Source organism: Homo sapiens, chromosome 15 (assembly GCF_000001405.40).
Source record: "Homo sapiens chromosome 15, GRCh38.p14 Primary Assembly".
Taxonomy (NCBI): domain Eukaryota; kingdom Metazoa; phylum Chordata; class Mammalia; order Primates; family Hominidae; genus Homo; species Homo sapiens.
Window position 1 is genome coordinate 38008008 of NC_000015.10, and position 15577 is coordinate 38023584.

Below are 15577 nucleotides of genomic sequence, written 5' to 3' on the forward strand. Positions count from 1 at the left end.
GCCTCAGCCTCCCGGGTTGCTGGGACTACAGGCGCCTGCCACCACGCCTGGCTAATTTTTCATATTTTTAGTAGAGATGGGGTTTCACCATGTTAGCCGGGATGGTCTCGATCTCCTGACCTCGTGATCTGCCCACCTTGGCCTCCCAAAGTGCTGAGATTACAGGCGTGAGCCACCGTGCCCAGCCAAACTCACCCACACTTTCAGGTTTTACTTGCAAGAGTGCAGACTCTCCCAGATTGCTGAAGAAATTCGTCAGGCAAAGAAAAGAACCTGGATGAAAGTGGGAAACTATAAAAATGCTAGAAATACCGACCGTGGTACTCAGAGGGGAGCTAAAGAGATAAAGTGTGGTTGTCAATATTTTAGCTGCAGGGATGATAGAGGGAAGGGGGAAATCAACATTTTCTAAAGTCATTTGACCTCAAAACACTTTTTTCTATGAAGCATCCCAACTTAATTGACTCTAGAACTCCTTCATTCATAAAGCATCTGTCCTTGGGGAGATACTGCAATAAGGTAGATAGGATAATCTTAGTAAAATTAGAAGATCTCTTCAGGGTCTATTTTCTAGGATCAAAATGACAAAGCATTCACTAAATACCAATAAGCTTCTGATATCCCTGGGGCAGAAAGTAGGCCAATTCATTCCACACAGTGCCAGGCACGAGGTCAACTCCAACATGAAAAGCACAGTGAAAAACAATTTACCTCCAAATGAGGTTGCCATCTGAAGTGAGGCATGTCAGAGGAGGGACAGAATGTTCAAAGTGTGGTTGGAATCAAGACAACGCATGACCATCTGCCATCCAAGTACCATCTTCTGAATCGTTTAGCCACCTGCACACCTGTGCAGGCATGTCACATTGAGGAAGGGATTGCCATGCCATCATAATGAGCAATAAAAACAAAAGCTCAAGAAATCACTCTTAGGCCTCTGATACCATTACTTTCCTAAATTTAGAATCTGCCCCCAAGAAGAAACATATGGAAAAAGAGATTCATAAGCCTAAATCCTAAATCTAAACAAGACTGAAGTTTCTGTGTGATCTGAATTTTTAGACTACCGGGTCATATGTGGAAAATCAGCAAGCTGTTAAAGGAATAGCATGGCAAATGCTGAACAGATCCTAATCTGGAATCCATTACGTATCTTCTCATTTTGAACTTTGATCAACACAAAAATCACCTCTTCTCTAACCTCATTCAGATTTCACCTCTAGATCTACTTTTCCCAGGAAAGCCAAATAAATCCATCCAAAACTAATTATAGAGAAGTGCCTCTAAGTGCTCAAAGCAATCAGTTCCCCTAAAGAGCTTTGCACAAAAGAGCACAGCTCGCCTATTCTAGTTCTTTAGACCTTCAACACCAGAGATTGGGTTTGTGTAAATGTGATGTGCTTGTCTAGGATTCATTATGTGAGAAATGTTATTTACTTGGTCTATATTCTCTAGGCAACAGTATTTTTATTCTAAATGTTAGATAAGGTCCTCCCAGTTCAAGTGCCTCTCCTTAAAAAGACGTTTCAATTTGGGAACTCTAAAGATACCAAAAGTCACACCATTAGTAAGAACTCACCAAATATATTATATCCAGGAAAATAGATATGCCCTTTTCTAATTAGTTAGCTTAAGCATATAATGGGAAAGCAACACAGCAGAGCAGTTAGATATCCAAACTTAGAGGTCAGATTGCCTGGGTTCACACTGGCTTCACCACTAAATAGCTGTGTGACCTGAGTCAAGTCACTCAAGCTCTCTGAGACTCCATTTCTGTATATATAAATGAGGCATGGTAACACATGTAAGTGAAATGCATGTAAGTGAAAATGCATATAAAGTGTTTAGCATTGTATCTGGAGCATAATGAGCTTTAAAACAGTAGGTATTTATGGTAGGCTGAGAATGCCCCCCCAAAAATTATTCATGTTCTAACTCCTGGACTCTGTAAATGTCACCTTATATAGAACAAGCACCTCTGCAGATGTGATGAAGGTAAGGATCTTGAGATGAAGAGATGATCTGGATTATTAATAGAGTGGACCCTAAACTCAATTGCAGGTATCTTTATAAGAGGGAGGCAGGTCCGGGCGCGGTGGCTCCCGCCTGTAATCCCAGCACTCTGGGAGGCCGAGGCGGGCGGATCACGAGGTCAGGAGATCGAGACCATCCTGGCTAAGACAGTGAAACCCCGTCTCTACTAAAAAAAATACAAAAAATTAGCCGGGCGTATTGGCCGGCGCGTGTAGTCCCAGCTACTCGAGAGGCTGAGGCAGGAGAATGGCGTGAATCTGGGAGGCGGAGCTTGGGTGAGCTGAGATCGCGCCACTGCACTCCAGCACTCCAGCCTGGGCGACAGAGCGAGACTCCGTCTCCAAAAAAAAAAAAAAAAAAAAAAAGAGGGAGGCAGAGGGAGATCACACACACACACACACACACACACACACACAGGAAGGGGCCATGTGAAGATGGGGGTAGACAGAGATTTAAAAGTGCCATCCACGAAGGCTACAATGATGTTATCACGAGCGAAGGAATGTCAGCAGCTGGCAGGGGGAACCTGCAGAGGGAGTGTGGTCCTGCTAACACCGTAATTTCAGCCTAGTGATACTGATTTTGGACATCTGGCCTCCATAACCATGAAAAAATAAATTTCTGTGGTTTTAACCCACCAACTTTGTGGTAGTTTGTTACAGCAGCCACAGAAAACCGGTGTAACGATACTCTTTATTTATTTATTTGCTTACTTATTTATTTATTTTTGAGACAGTGCCTCACTCTGCCACCCAGGCTAGAGTGCAGTGGCTCAATCTTGGCTCACTGCAACCTCCGTCTCCCAGGTTCAAGTGATTCTTGTGCCTTAGCCTCCCAAGTAGCTGGGAGGCATGTGCCACCATGCCCAGCTAATTTTTGTATTTTTGTAGAGACAGGGTTTTGCCTTGTCAGCCAGGCTGGTCTCAAACTCCTGGCCTGAAGTGATCTGCCCACCTCGTCCTCCCAAAGTGCTGGGATCACAGGCATGAGCCACTGCACCCAGCATCTTTTATGTATCTATTGCTGTGTGACAAAACTTAGTTACTTAAACAGCAAATGTGTTATCCCACAGTATCTGTGGGTCAGGAACCTGGGCACAGCTTAGTTTGGTGTCTGTCCCTCAAGGTGTCTCACAAGGTTGGAATCAAGATATCGGCAGAGGCTGTGGTCTCATCTCAAGGCTTGAGTGAAGAAGGAACTAAGGAAGATTCAGTGCTGCATAATAGTAGACTGAGGGCCTCAAATCTTGCTGAGTGTGGACAGAAGCTACTCTCAGTTTCTTGTCACACGTGTCCCTTCATACAACAGCTTACAACACAGCAGCTGACTTCATCAGAATGAGCATGACAGTGATCGAGAGAGAGAGAGTGTGTGTGTGCGATGGTGGAAGTCAACACCTTTTTAAACTTAATCTCAGAAATGATAGCCTATCACTTTTGCTGCAGTGTCTTTGTTAGAAGTGAGTCACTAGGTCTAAGGACATTAACTATCCAGAATAGTTACCTGCACCAAGTCTTTTCATTTGACAGCTGCCCTGGCTCTTTATCACCTGCTGACCTTTTTTTTGAATACTAACCTAATCTAATTCACATTGGTCTGTTTATTATAGAATGCAGGACTGTTAATAGAAAAAGTTCCCAGTTGTTCAATCTGCAAATGCCCAAAATTCAGACTTTAAAATAAAAATCTACCATGTCTATGTAGATTTATGGTTTTACATTTGCTTCCACGTGTTTCTGTGTATCTTTTCCTGCTCTGAAAAATATGTCTGTTATGTAGTTGCCTAAGAATGGCTTCTTCTGGCCAGGCATGGTGGCTCATGCTTGTAATCCCAACATTTTGGGAGGCCAAGGCGGGCAGATCACAAGGTCATGAGATCGAGACCACCCTGGCTCACATGGTGAAATCCCATCTCTACTGAAAATACAAAAAAGTAGCCTGGCGCAGTGCCGGGTGCCTGTAGTCCCAGCTACTCAGGAGGCTGAAGGAGGAGAATGGCATGAACCTGGGAGGCGGAGGTTGCCGTGAGCCAAGATCGCGCCACTGCACTCCACCCTAGGTGACAGAGCGAGACTCCGTCTCAAAAAAAAAAGAAAAAAAGAAAAGAATGGCTTCTTCTATGTGGTGAGAGGGTTTTCATAGATTTCCTTGCATTTGGCACAAGGAGAACAACTTCCAGCCCAGAACATCTTTTCTTGCTCTCAATGGTCACTCCATATGTCTCTCACGGTGCCTCTCACCAGCCCCAGAATCCATGGCTAGCCTTCAAAACTGTCCTTTTGTTTCACTAACATTTTGCTGTTTGACATTCACACCACTCAAATCAAATATTATCGATTTTTTGAGCAGAAAATATCTTCAATTTATCTCATCAAGCCTCAAAGAGAAAAGCTCAGAGGGCTTTCTCTCTGATATTCTCAGTGCTAGTTAAGGACACAGTTGATGTTGAAGCCTGTTGTCTCAACTCCCAATAGGAGTAGTCGTGTGTGTGTGTGTGTGTGTGCACATACACGTGTATGTGTGTTGCTCATTTTGCACTGCTTTTAGATGTTATGATTAGTTCTCAAATACACAATATGTACTCAGGAAATGTTTGTAAGCAACATCAAAATCCATGCTAGAACAAAAATGATATCTAAAAGAAGCATAAAATTGTGATGAGGAGGCTGATGAGAAGTGATGTTCATGTGTGAGCTTGGTCCCATGCAGAACACTAATTCTTTCTTCGGCTTCCTGTCCTAGTATCAGTCAAAGTCAGGAGACAGAAAGAACACAGTAATTTGAAGAGGAAATGTTAATGTAAAGAATTATTAATCATTTATAGGGGATTAGCTACCAAGAAGGGATAATAGAGAAATCTAAAGATTACCTGAGGTCTGAATGAGAGAACCCAAAGAAGGAACAAACTTGGAAGGGGGCCTCTTCCTCAGGACTGGGATACAGATCACAATAAAGGGACTGTGGCTTCAGCCTGTAGGATAGGAGAGAAGTCACAGTTGGTCCATAGTCTGCAGGCCAAGGGTGGCAGACAGAGAACCACCACTGGGTGCCAGTGAAACTCCCGAGGAAGCTGTCAGCAGAGGCTGCTGATGAATTCACTGAAGGCTGTCAAAAGTTACCTACAGAACTCATCCAGAAGCCACCCACAAAGATGTTGCTAAGATCACAAAGAAGCCACCTTTCCAGGAAGCTGCCTGTGGCTAGTACCACTTAAACTTGCCAGGGGTCATCTCCACTGGGTATCCTGTATAGGCAGGCCAAGCACCACAGGAAGGAGGGAAAAGGACAGCTAAAGCAGGAAAAGAAGTCCCTCCCCCCCTCTAGTGTTCCTCTATTGCCATCTACTAAAAAACTTGACATGGTGCCAAGAGGTAAAGAAGAAATGCTTACGAGATCCATCTTGGCTATCAAGCACAACATTAAAGGGTGGATTTGGAGCTGAGAGACAGTAATTCAATAACAGCCACACTCTTGTCATCAGTGATGTGATAGGAGCTCTAATCTCAGCTCTGCTAATGTGCTAACACCTAGGGACTTCTTAAACAGATGATTCCCTGCATGTCACCTTAGTATTGCTTCACTTTTCTTAATCCAGTCTATGGAACATTTTGAGTTTGATAGACCCAATGAGCCACTCTATTACTTCAACATGTGATAATTTAAAATAGCAAATAATTTTTTCTATTTTATTTTTCCTGATACCAATCACTAAGATAATCTGGATTCAATTTATACTGTTACTATAGCAAATTATCATAAATTTAGTGACTTAAAACTATATACAAATTTATTTTCCTACAGCTCTGGAGGTCAGAAATCAAAAATGGGTCTGCTGGGCTGCATTCCTTCTGCAGGCTCTAGGGAAGAATCTGTTTCTATTTTTAGCTTCTAAAGGTGAACTGCATTTCTTGGCTCATGACTCCTTCTTTCATCTCCAAAGCTAGCAGTGTATCATCTTCTCTGCTCTCTGACCCCTGCTTCTGTCCTCACATTATCTGACTTTGTTCATTTTGCCTCCCTCTAAGGACTGTTGCAATTACATTGGGTCCATGAGGATCATCTAGAATAATTCCCTCACCTCAAGATAGTTAATTTAATCATACCTGCAAAATATTTTTTTGCCATGTAAGGTAATATATTCATAGGTTCTGGATACTAAGGCATAGATATCTTTGGGAGGCCATTATTCTTTCTATCATATACTCCTTCCTAAAATTAAAGTCTCTTGGATATTACCTAGTTTTGCTTCGTGTACATTTTGTCATTTAAAAGAATTTCAAAACCTCCCTGCTCTGACCCTGGCTTTCAAGACACCAAGATACGATCGATTACAAACACTTGATTTCCCTTCAGCTCCCCATTCTTAATTTCAAGAAAATTTTGTTTCCTCAACTTTAACCCTCCTTCTAATTTCTTCAAAAATAAAATAGAAATACTTTAGCTTATGAATTTGCTAGAACTAATGACATAAGCTTCCTGCAAACCATTAGGTATACCAATCTCTCTGTAGCTACTTCAATTGTCTTCCAAGAGTTAGAGGGATTTCTGAATTGATAGAGAGAGGTGAAAATGGCATTCAGTGCGTGTGTGCACACATGTTCTACCCCCGCAAGTTCTACCCCACAAGACTAAAATTGTTTAATGTGTTTCCCTTTCTTTCTATGTTCCCTGTACTCTCCTTCTGCCTCTCAGTATATGGCAGTAGAGAAAGTTGAATGCATAATTAATTCTAAGTCACTTAAAGATCCTAAAGGAAAAGACACTGTATTAGTCAAGGTTCTCTTAGAGGAACAGAACTAATAGGAGAAAGATTATATATATATATATATATATATATATATATATATATATATATATGAGTTTATGAAGTATTAACTTACACAATCATAAGGTCCCACAATAGGCCATCTGCAAGCTGAGGAGCAAGGAGAGCCAGTCCAAGTCCCAAAACTAAAGAACTTGGAGTCCGATGTTAGAGGACAGGAAGCATCCAGTATGAGAAAGATGTAGACTGCGAGGCTAGGCCTATCTCTCCTTTTCATGTTTTTCTGCCTGCTTTATATTTGCTGGCAGCTGATTCAATTGTGTCCACCAGATTAAGGGTGGATCTGCCTTCCGAAGCTCACTGACTCAAATGTTAATCTCTTTTGGCAACACCCTCATAGACACACCCAGGATCAATGCTTTGCATCCTTCAATCCAATCAAGTTGACAGTATTAACCATCACAGGAACTTTCCAATTAGAGGACAGAAAGTCAAATGCAACTAGGAAACAATAAGATACGAATACCCACTAACCACCATTTAATGATATTAAATTAATACCATTAAAATTGCCAAAACTCAAAACACTGACAACACCAAGTGCTAAAAGATGTGGAACAACAGGAACTGTATTCATTGCTGGTGGGAATGCAGAATGGTACAGCCATTCTGGAATATGCTTTGGCAGTTTCTTACAAAACTAAACATACCCTAATCATAAAATCTATAAATCATATTCTTTGGTATTTACCCAAAAATTTGAACACTTATGTCCACACAAAAGGTGTTTTCACAAAGATGTTTGTCACAGCATTATTCTTAACAGTCAAAGCTTGGAAGCAACCAAGATGGCGTTCAGTAGGTAAATGTATAAATAAACTATGGTACATCCAGACAATGGACTATTTATTATTCAGTGATAAAAATAAATGAGCTATCAAGTCATAAAAAGAGATGGAGGAATCTTCAACATATATTACCAAGTGAAAGAAGCCCAACTGAAAAGGCTTTTTACTATATGATTTCAACTATATGACATTCTAGAAAAAGCAAAACTATGAAGAAAGTAAAAGCATCAGTGGCTGCCCAGGGTTGGGGGAAGGAAGGGATGAATATGCAGAGCATAGAGGATTTTTAGGGCAGTGAAATTATTCTGCATGATACTGTAACAGTAGATGTGTGTCATTTTATATATCCATCCAAACCCACAGAATGTACAACACCAAGGGTTAACCCAAATGTAAACTACGGACTTCGGATGATACTGGGACGTCAATGTAGGTTCATCAGTTGTAACAAATGCACCCCTATGGTGGGGGGTGTTGATAATGGGGGAGGCTATGTGTGTATGGAGGCAGGGGCTATATGGGAAATCTCTGCACCTTCTGCTCAATGTTGCTGTGAACCTAAAACTGCTCTAAAAAATAAAGTCTATTTTTTAATGGGATTATGAAGAAATGAAAAAGGAATTTATATTAGCCCATTGCCAATAACAGTGAAAAGTGAAGATTAAGACCAGCAAGAATATTTGTGCCACTTATGAGCAATCGAAAACCTGTCAGTGTAGCCACTGTATCAGGCTCTGTGGGCAATGGGGACTCCTCATGAACTCCCAAGGTAACTTGAAAGTAAATTAACCAGCCTAAGACAGATAATCCAGTGGTCCTAAAAGATGGATGATTTGAGGGGTGCTGATTTGGTGCAAGACTAAATGGCAAAGGAGTTCAATCTCTGCTCAAACACCAGTGAATACATGAGCCATCTCAGGATCAAGCACCTACGGTAACTTCCAGAGCCGCAGAAATGAGCAGTGGTCAGTTATACTTTCAGCCTGGGCAAAGTCTAGTCCCCAAGCACAAAGGAAAGGTATATAATAAGGCCTAAGTTATAATGGAAATTATGGAATGCTCCTGCTTTAAATTTTTGGAAATATCACCCTATAATCCTCCCTTTCTGACCACTGTGTCCTCTGCCGCTTGCCTTAACACTGTCAAAAAGTTTATCTGGGTTTATTCACACCCATAACTACTAGTAGGAGAAAAGAATAAAGTTTGTTGTTGCTGTTGTTGTCATACCATAGGGGTTAGACACCCTGACCTAGGCTTTTTTTTTTCCAACTATTTAAACCTCTAAAGAACAGATTATGAACACTGGATCACAAAGACAGAGTGCAAGAAAGAGAGACACAGAATGAGAGACAGAGAGAGAGAGGATACGGCTGTATTTATATGGCCAGGGGTCTTCCACTGAAGATAGTGGACTGAGTTCAAGTTTTTTTCTTTGCATTGCTTCCACTAAAATTTCACTGACATAAAAAAATACTAATAAATATACAGCACCTGTGAAAGCAATGAAACCTTCTGCAAATGACCAGAAACTTAAGGAATTTCTGGATATTATAAAAGCATATAGAATCAAATTAATTTATAAGTTAATTGCCAAAACTTCTGCCTCCTAATACTAGTAAAGAAGGAGGGGTGATGGAGGAGTGCATAGTTTGGTTTCCTAACGGAGTTCAGAAAAGTTTAAATCTCCGAGAAGCAGGAGTGGGTCATGGAAGCATGGGAGTGCGTGGGGTCTTAGAAATATGGCAGGAGCTGGGCCAGAATCCTGCTCTGTGCAAAGCAACTCCCTAACAAAAATGGTAACCTGCCTGCCGGAGAGGAGCCAGAGAAATGGCTGTGCCTTGTTCAAATTTAGATCGGTATAATGGAAGAAAAGGAAAAGGAAAAAAGCACTCAGTGGTACAGGAAAGGCTTTTAAAGCATTGTCTTCATCATAAGAAGTTCCTGCTTCCTCAGTTGAGGGGCTCCTATTCTGTCAGTCTGCTTACCATTAAAACATCCTAGAAGAAAACACAGCTTTTAGAAGTGCCCACCTACTCACTGCATCTGAGTAAGGGTACTCAGAGGGCACCGCAGGCAGTCATCTGAAAAGCAAGGAGGCCTGCAGATATGATTTGTCTCTGTGTCCCCACCCAAGTCTTATCTCCAATTGTAGTCCCTGTATGTTGGGGGCAGGGCCTGGCGAGAGGTGATTGAATCATGAGAGTGGACTTCCCCCTTGCTGTTCTTGTGATCGTGAGCGAGCTCTCATGAGATCTGGTTGTTTGAAAGCGTGTGGCACTTCCCCCTTCACTCTCTCTCTCTCTTGCTCTGCCATGGGAAGATGTGCCTTGCTTCCCCTTTGCCTTTTGCCACAACTGTAAGTTTCATGAGGCCTCCCCAGCCATGCAGAACTATAAGTCAAACCTCTTTTCTTCATAAGTCACCCAGTCTCAGGTAGTTTTTTATAGCAGTGCGAAAATGGACTAATACACCTGCTTAGGGCTGTGTATCAGTGACATTCACAAATTCTGAAGAAACCCACACTTGATACCATCGTTAATCAAGGCAAGCCTTTACTGGTAAACAGTAATAGACAACAAAGAAGAAAGTCAACAGGCTAAGAGAAGGGCACCAACATAACTAAGCTGAAGACTTAACTCTAAGTAAAGAGCGTTAAAGCAAGAAATAGGAGACAACTTTAAGAAATTTTTAAAATTATTGTCCTCAGAGAGAGTTAAGTGGCCATTAATTAGTAAAATGAAGAAATCTGGTTTCAAAAAAGAAAGCCATTGGAGAACAAGTGCACTCTAGAAATTAAAAACATGACTTTAAAAGTAAAATTTCAGTGGGAGGCAAAATAGTAGAATGAAAATAGATTAATAAAAATTGTTGGCCTGTAAAAACAAGTAATAGAATTCTACCCAACTGGCAAAAAAAAGAGATGTAAATGATTAAAGATAAATGATATGGAAGATAGGTCTAAAAAATTCCACATATAGTAACAGGAGATGAAGAACGAAAAAAATAGAGAAAATGAATGAAAGCAATAATCAAAGAAATAATAAAGAAAATTTCCCTGATCTAAAGTTTTCTATCTTCAGATTAAAAGGGTTCAGTAAGTGAAGAGCAGTAATGTTATTTTTTTTTTTACATACAGATTTCAAAATCCAGGATTAAAATTAAAATATTTTAATTTTCCAGAGAAACACAACAATTTATGCATAAGAAATGAAAATTAGATGGGCATGGAACTTCTTACATACAACACTAGATGTTAAAAGACAATGGAGCTCTGTTTATGAAGTTATGTGGAAAAGTAGTTTAAACCTTAAATTCAATATGCAATCAAAATTATCACTAAGTATGGAGGTAAAGAATATTTTCAGATATGCAATGACTCAGATAGTATACCACCCATATATTCTGAGAGAGAAATAAAAGAGCCCCCAGAATGACTTCTGTAAAATGAAAAATAAATCATAGTGAAGAATTCAAGAAAGAGGAAGATGTGAAACTAAACCAATAAAATAGTAGTGGGCAAAGAAATCAGTAAAATCCTTGAGTCAAAATGATTGCAGATAATGTTGTGAAACTTAATGGCACTGTTAGGAAAAAGATGACTAAAATAGAAGTTAATAATATTTCTAAAACTGAAGCAATCTGGAACTAAAATTCTTAGTAATTTCAATCTCAAGTAACAAGGAAAAGGGAAGTAAAAGCTAACTAGAATATTTATTTTGCATGGATGGGATAATACAAATTCTGGTTAATTCTTCTAAGGAAAATATAGGTCAGTTTATCAGAAGTTTCAATTTTCCTTTTTTTTGTAAATAGACTTTACATTTTAGAACAGGTTTAGGTTTGTAACAAAATTGAGTTGAAAGTACAGAGAAGTCACATATTCCTCCTACCCGTTCACATTCACAACCTCCCCCACTGTCAGCATCCCCCACTAGAGTGGTACATTATACTAGAGTTCACTATTTTCTTAAGACACAGGGTCTCACTCTGTCACTCAGGCTGGAGTGCAGTGGTAAAATCATAGCTCACTGCAGCCTCAAATTCCTGGACTCAAGTGGTCCTCTCACCTCACCCTCCTGAGTAGCTGGGACTACAGGCAGTGCCACTATGTCTGGCTAATTTTTTTTTTTTTTTAATTTCATAGAGACGGGGTCTTGCCTTGTTACCTAAACTGGTCCTGTATCCCTGGCTTCAAGCAATCCTCTAGCCTCTGTCTCCCAAAGCACTAGCATTACAGGTTTGAGCCACCATGCCCAGCTGTGGTTCTATGGACTTGGACAAATGTATAATGACATGTACAGCATCAGAGGTTTTTTTTTTTGATAAATTAAATGTAATTAAAAAAATTTTTTTTTAGAGACAGGACCTTGCTCTGTCACCCAGTCTGGAGTGCAGTGACACAATCATAACTCACTGCAGCCTCAAACTCCTGGGATCAAGTGATCCTCCCACCTCAGCCTCTGGAGTAGGTAGGACTACAGATGCACCACCATACTTGGCTAATATATTTTTTTCATTTTTTTTGTATTTTCTGTAGAGATGGAGTCTCCCTGTGTTGCCCAGTCTGGTCTTGAGAGCTTCAGTTTTAAATAATAAATTGTTCTCGTCTTTCTAAATTTCAATCAAAACACAGGATGTATTTTAAAAGGGAAAAACTGTGAGGTAAAAGAATAGGGTGAGGGGAGGAAAGAAATAACTTCATAGAGAAAAATTCAATGAACCCTTGGAAGAAAATATATGGAAGTATGGTTACTGACTTGGGAAAGAAGAGAAAGGTACAATGTAACTGCACATAGAAGCCAGTCCTGAAAAGAAGCAAGCCGGCTGAAGTTATCTGCAACTCAGAAGCACTTGGTACCACCCAAGGGGAGATAAGAGGTAAGGTGGGAAAAAGGGCAGTGATTGAGACCACTACAGACACCTGGACTTGCAAAAGATAGCAATGGATACGTAATAAGCCAAGCAAATTCAAAATAATTTGGTGATGAATATGCTAATTAGCTTAATTATGGTAATCATTGCACAATTTATATGTGTATCAAAGCATCACATTAAACATCTTAAATATATATAATTTTATTTGTCAATTATACCTCAATAAAGCTGGGGGAAATTTTAAATAAAAATAAATAAATAAAAATAAGTTAACTAGTAAATTCTGAAGAAACAAAAATAATCATAGTATTGCTTTTTGGTTTAAGAGAAATAAAATTTTAGGTAAACTTTGTTGGTTTAATTTAGTAAGGTTGGTTTCAGGAAACTGTGGATGGATCAGCAATAGGAAATCTGTTAATGTATTCATGTTGTTTACTAGATTAAAAAATACAAAATGCATGGTTATTTAGGTGGATAACAAAAATGTGTTGGACAAATTTGCATTCCGGGTATTTAAAAATGTATTAGTAAACAAAAAACAATGGATACTTCCTACTTGTCAGAAACCCAAAGCAACTAAGCAGTTACCAGTACAGCACTTTTTAATGGGACATTACTATTAAAATAAGGACAGACTAAGATCCCTGACTCAGCTTTGTTTTAGAAATCATAATAAATGGAAAATATGTCTGTTTGCAGATGATATGATCATCCTTCCTAGAAAATCCAAAGCATTAATTAAGGTAGGCTAAACCACTATAACAAATGAGCACTAAGTTTCCAGTTGCTTAAAAAGAAGCTTATTTTCATTTAGATAAAGTGCTCCAGGTCTGCGTGCAGCTCTCCATGATGTAACTCAGAAACTCAGCATATTTCCACCTTGTGGCTCCACTATTCCCTGGGGACTTAATATCACATGCATAGAAGGGTGCATGTGGGGGGATTTTTTTAGAAGTGACCCCCATTGCTTGTATTCATAATCTATTATTGGACTTGGTCACATGGCCAGAGCTAACAGTCAGGGTGTTTAGTAATAAGTTTTAGCTATTTGTCCAGAAGGAAAGGGAGACTAGGTTTTGATTGACAATAGCAGTGTTCCCCACAAGAACCACTTGAAATATCCAAATGCTTATCAATATAAAAATCTAAAAAGATAAAATTTAAAAATCAGTCGTGTTTTATTACAGATTACTCAATTAAAATATACAATATTAACTTTTTAATTTTTTTAATTCAATGTAGCAAAAAACTATAACATCTTTGGAAGGTAGTTCGACAGTTTCTTTTTTTTTTTTTTTTGAGATGGAGTCTCACCCTGTCACCAGGCTGGAGTGCAGCGGCCCGATCTCAGCTCACTGCAACCTCCACCTCCTGGGTTCAAGCAATTCTCCTGCCTCAGCCTCCTGAGTAGCTGGGACTACAGGCAAGCGCCACCAAGTCCAGCTAATTTTTTTGTATTTTTAGTAGAGATAGGGTTTCACCATGTTGGCCAGGATGGTCTCGATCTCCTGACCTCATGATCTACCCGTGTTGGCCTCCCAAAGTGCTGGGATTACAGGCGTGAGCCATCACACCCGGCCAGTTTCTTACAAAACTAATCATACGCTTATCATACCATTCAGCAGTCGTATTTCTTAGTATTTACCCAAAGGAGCTGAAAACGATGTCCACACAAAAACCTGCACACGAATTTATTTTTAATTACCAAAATTTGGAAGCAACCAAGATGGCTTTCAGTAGGTAAATGGATAAACTCTGGCACATCCAGACAGTGGAATATTATTCAGTGCAAAGAAGAAATGCAAGCCAAGAAAAGACATGGAGGAAACCTAAATGTATATCACTAAGTGAAAGGAGCCAATTTGAAAAGGCTATATATGATATTATTCCAACTACATGACATTCTGGAAAATATAAAACTATGGAAAAGTTAAAAAAATCTCAGTAGTTGCCAGGGGTTTGACGGGGAGAAGAGAGGACTAGGCAGAGCACAGAGGATTTTTAGGGCACTGAAAATACTCTATATGATACTATAGTGGTGGCTACATGTCATTATACATTTGTCCAGACCCACAGAATGTACAACACCAAGAGTGAACCCTAATGTAAATCCATAGTTTTATGGGGTTTGGGTGATAATGATGTGTCAATGTAGTTCATCAATTGTAACAAATGTACCACTTTGGTGGGAGATGTTGATAATGGGGGAGGTTATGCATATGTGGAGGCAGGGGTATATGGGAAATCTCTATACCTTCCTCTCAATTTTGTTGTAAATGTAAAACTGCCCTTTTAAAATCTTTAATAAAATAACTATGATATTTTAGAAATAAACAACAAATAATATATAAAATCAATATAAAGAAAGTATGAAACTATATTAGATACAAATAGATTTGAATAATATAATTATTCTATTTCCTCTTGAAAACACTCAATTGTATAAAATAACCAATTCATTTTAAATTACTGTATAAGTTCCATGCAATCCCAATAAAAATCCCAGTGGCTTTAGTTGATGCTCTTTGAAACTTGAGTCTAAAGATCATCTGGAAATGTAATGTGCAAAAAGAATAAGAAAAATTTGGGAAACAAAATTTTTACATCTCAAGCTTTACAACAGTAATCGAAGCAGTGTGGCACAGTAACAAAAATAGACAAATTGATCATGATACAAAATAGAGTCCAGAAGCAGACATATATATTGTCAGTTAGTGATAAACCACCTCACAACATAGTAGCTTAAAATACAAGAATATTTCACTCCTGAATCTGCAATCTTAGCAGGGATGACTAGTCTCTGCTCCATATGAGCCCTGGGGGCTCTAACAGGTAGAGCTGGCCAGACATCTCTCTCTTTGTTAGTCTTCAGACCTCTCAATATGTTTTCTTATATGATCTTTTTAGCATAGCAACCTCAGAGTAGTTTGACCTCTTACATGCTGATCAGAGATCCAAGAATGTTTTAAAGGTAAACATTCTAAGAGGACTGGGATGAAGTTGCAGGCATTTTATGACCTAGCCTCAGTCATTTCTGACACTTTTCAATGGTCAA

At 39.4% G+C, this 15577-nt stretch overlaps 1 protein-coding gene across 2 annotated transcripts in view; it reads left to right on the forward strand.

The window, feature by feature from the left end:
• TMCO5A (transmembrane and coiled-coil domains 5A) overlaps positions 1-15577 on the forward strand; it is a 106226-nt gene that overhangs the window by 73368 nt on the left and 17281 nt on the right. Inside the window, exon 13 of one of the 2 annotated variants that reach the window (XM_047432177.1) lies at positions 1968-1995. The exons of the other annotated variant lie outside the window; for it this stretch is intronic. The gene's annotated coding sequence lies outside the window, so the exon portion shown is untranslated. Of the gene's footprint in view, positions 1-1967; positions 1996-15577 lie in introns of those variants that run through there. 2 annotated transcript variants of the gene reach the window in all.